A 591-nucleotide genomic window follows, 5' to 3' on the forward strand; every position below is an offset into this window, starting at 1 on the left:
GTGGATGTCCTTTCTGTTTGTTAGTTTTCCTTCTAACAGACAGGACCCTCAGCTGCAGGTCTGTTGGAATACCCTGCTGTGTGAGGTGTCCGTGTGCCCCTGCTGGGGGGTGCCTCCCAGTTAGGCTGCTCGGGGGTCAGGGGTCAGGGACCCACTTGAGGAGGCAGTCTGCCCATTCTCAGATCTCCAGCTGTGTGCTGGGAGAATCACTGCTCTCTTCAAAGCTGTCAGACAGGGACATTTAAGTCTGCAGAGGTTACTGCTGTCTTTTTGTTTGTCTGTGCCCGGCCCCCAGAGGTGGAGCCTACAGAGGCAGGCAGGCCTCCTTGAGCTGTGGTGGGCTCCACCCAGTTCGAGCTTCCCGGCTGCTTTGTTTACCTCAGCAAGCCTGGGCAATGGCGGGCGCCCCTCCCCCAGCCTCGCTGCTGCCTTGCAGTTTGATCTCAGACTGCTGTGCTAGCAATCAGCGAGACTCCGTGGGCGTAGGACCCTCCGAGCCAGGTGTGGGATATAATCTCGTGGTGCACCATTTTTTAAGCCCGTCGGAAAAGCCCAGTATTAGGGTGGGAGTGACCCGATTTTCCAGGTGCC

The 591-nt window shown here is 57.7% G+C and overlaps 1 annotated feature.

The window, feature by feature from the left end:
• Positions 1–591: an enhancer, noted in NCBI's record as "H3K27ac-H3K4me1 hESC enhancer chr1:95762972-95763562 (GRCh37/hg19 assembly coordinates)". NCBI's record gives its function as "activates a minimal SCP1, AML or CMV promoter by ChIP-STARR-seq in naive H9 embryonic stem cells {active_cell/tissue: H9 hESC(naive)}" and the evidence as "EXISTENCE:reporter gene assay evidence [ECO:0000049][PMID:30033119]".

This window comes from Homo sapiens, chromosome 1, assembly GCF_000001405.40.
Source record: "Homo sapiens chromosome 1, GRCh38.p14 Primary Assembly".
NCBI classification, from domain to species: domain Eukaryota; kingdom Metazoa; phylum Chordata; class Mammalia; order Primates; family Hominidae; genus Homo; species Homo sapiens.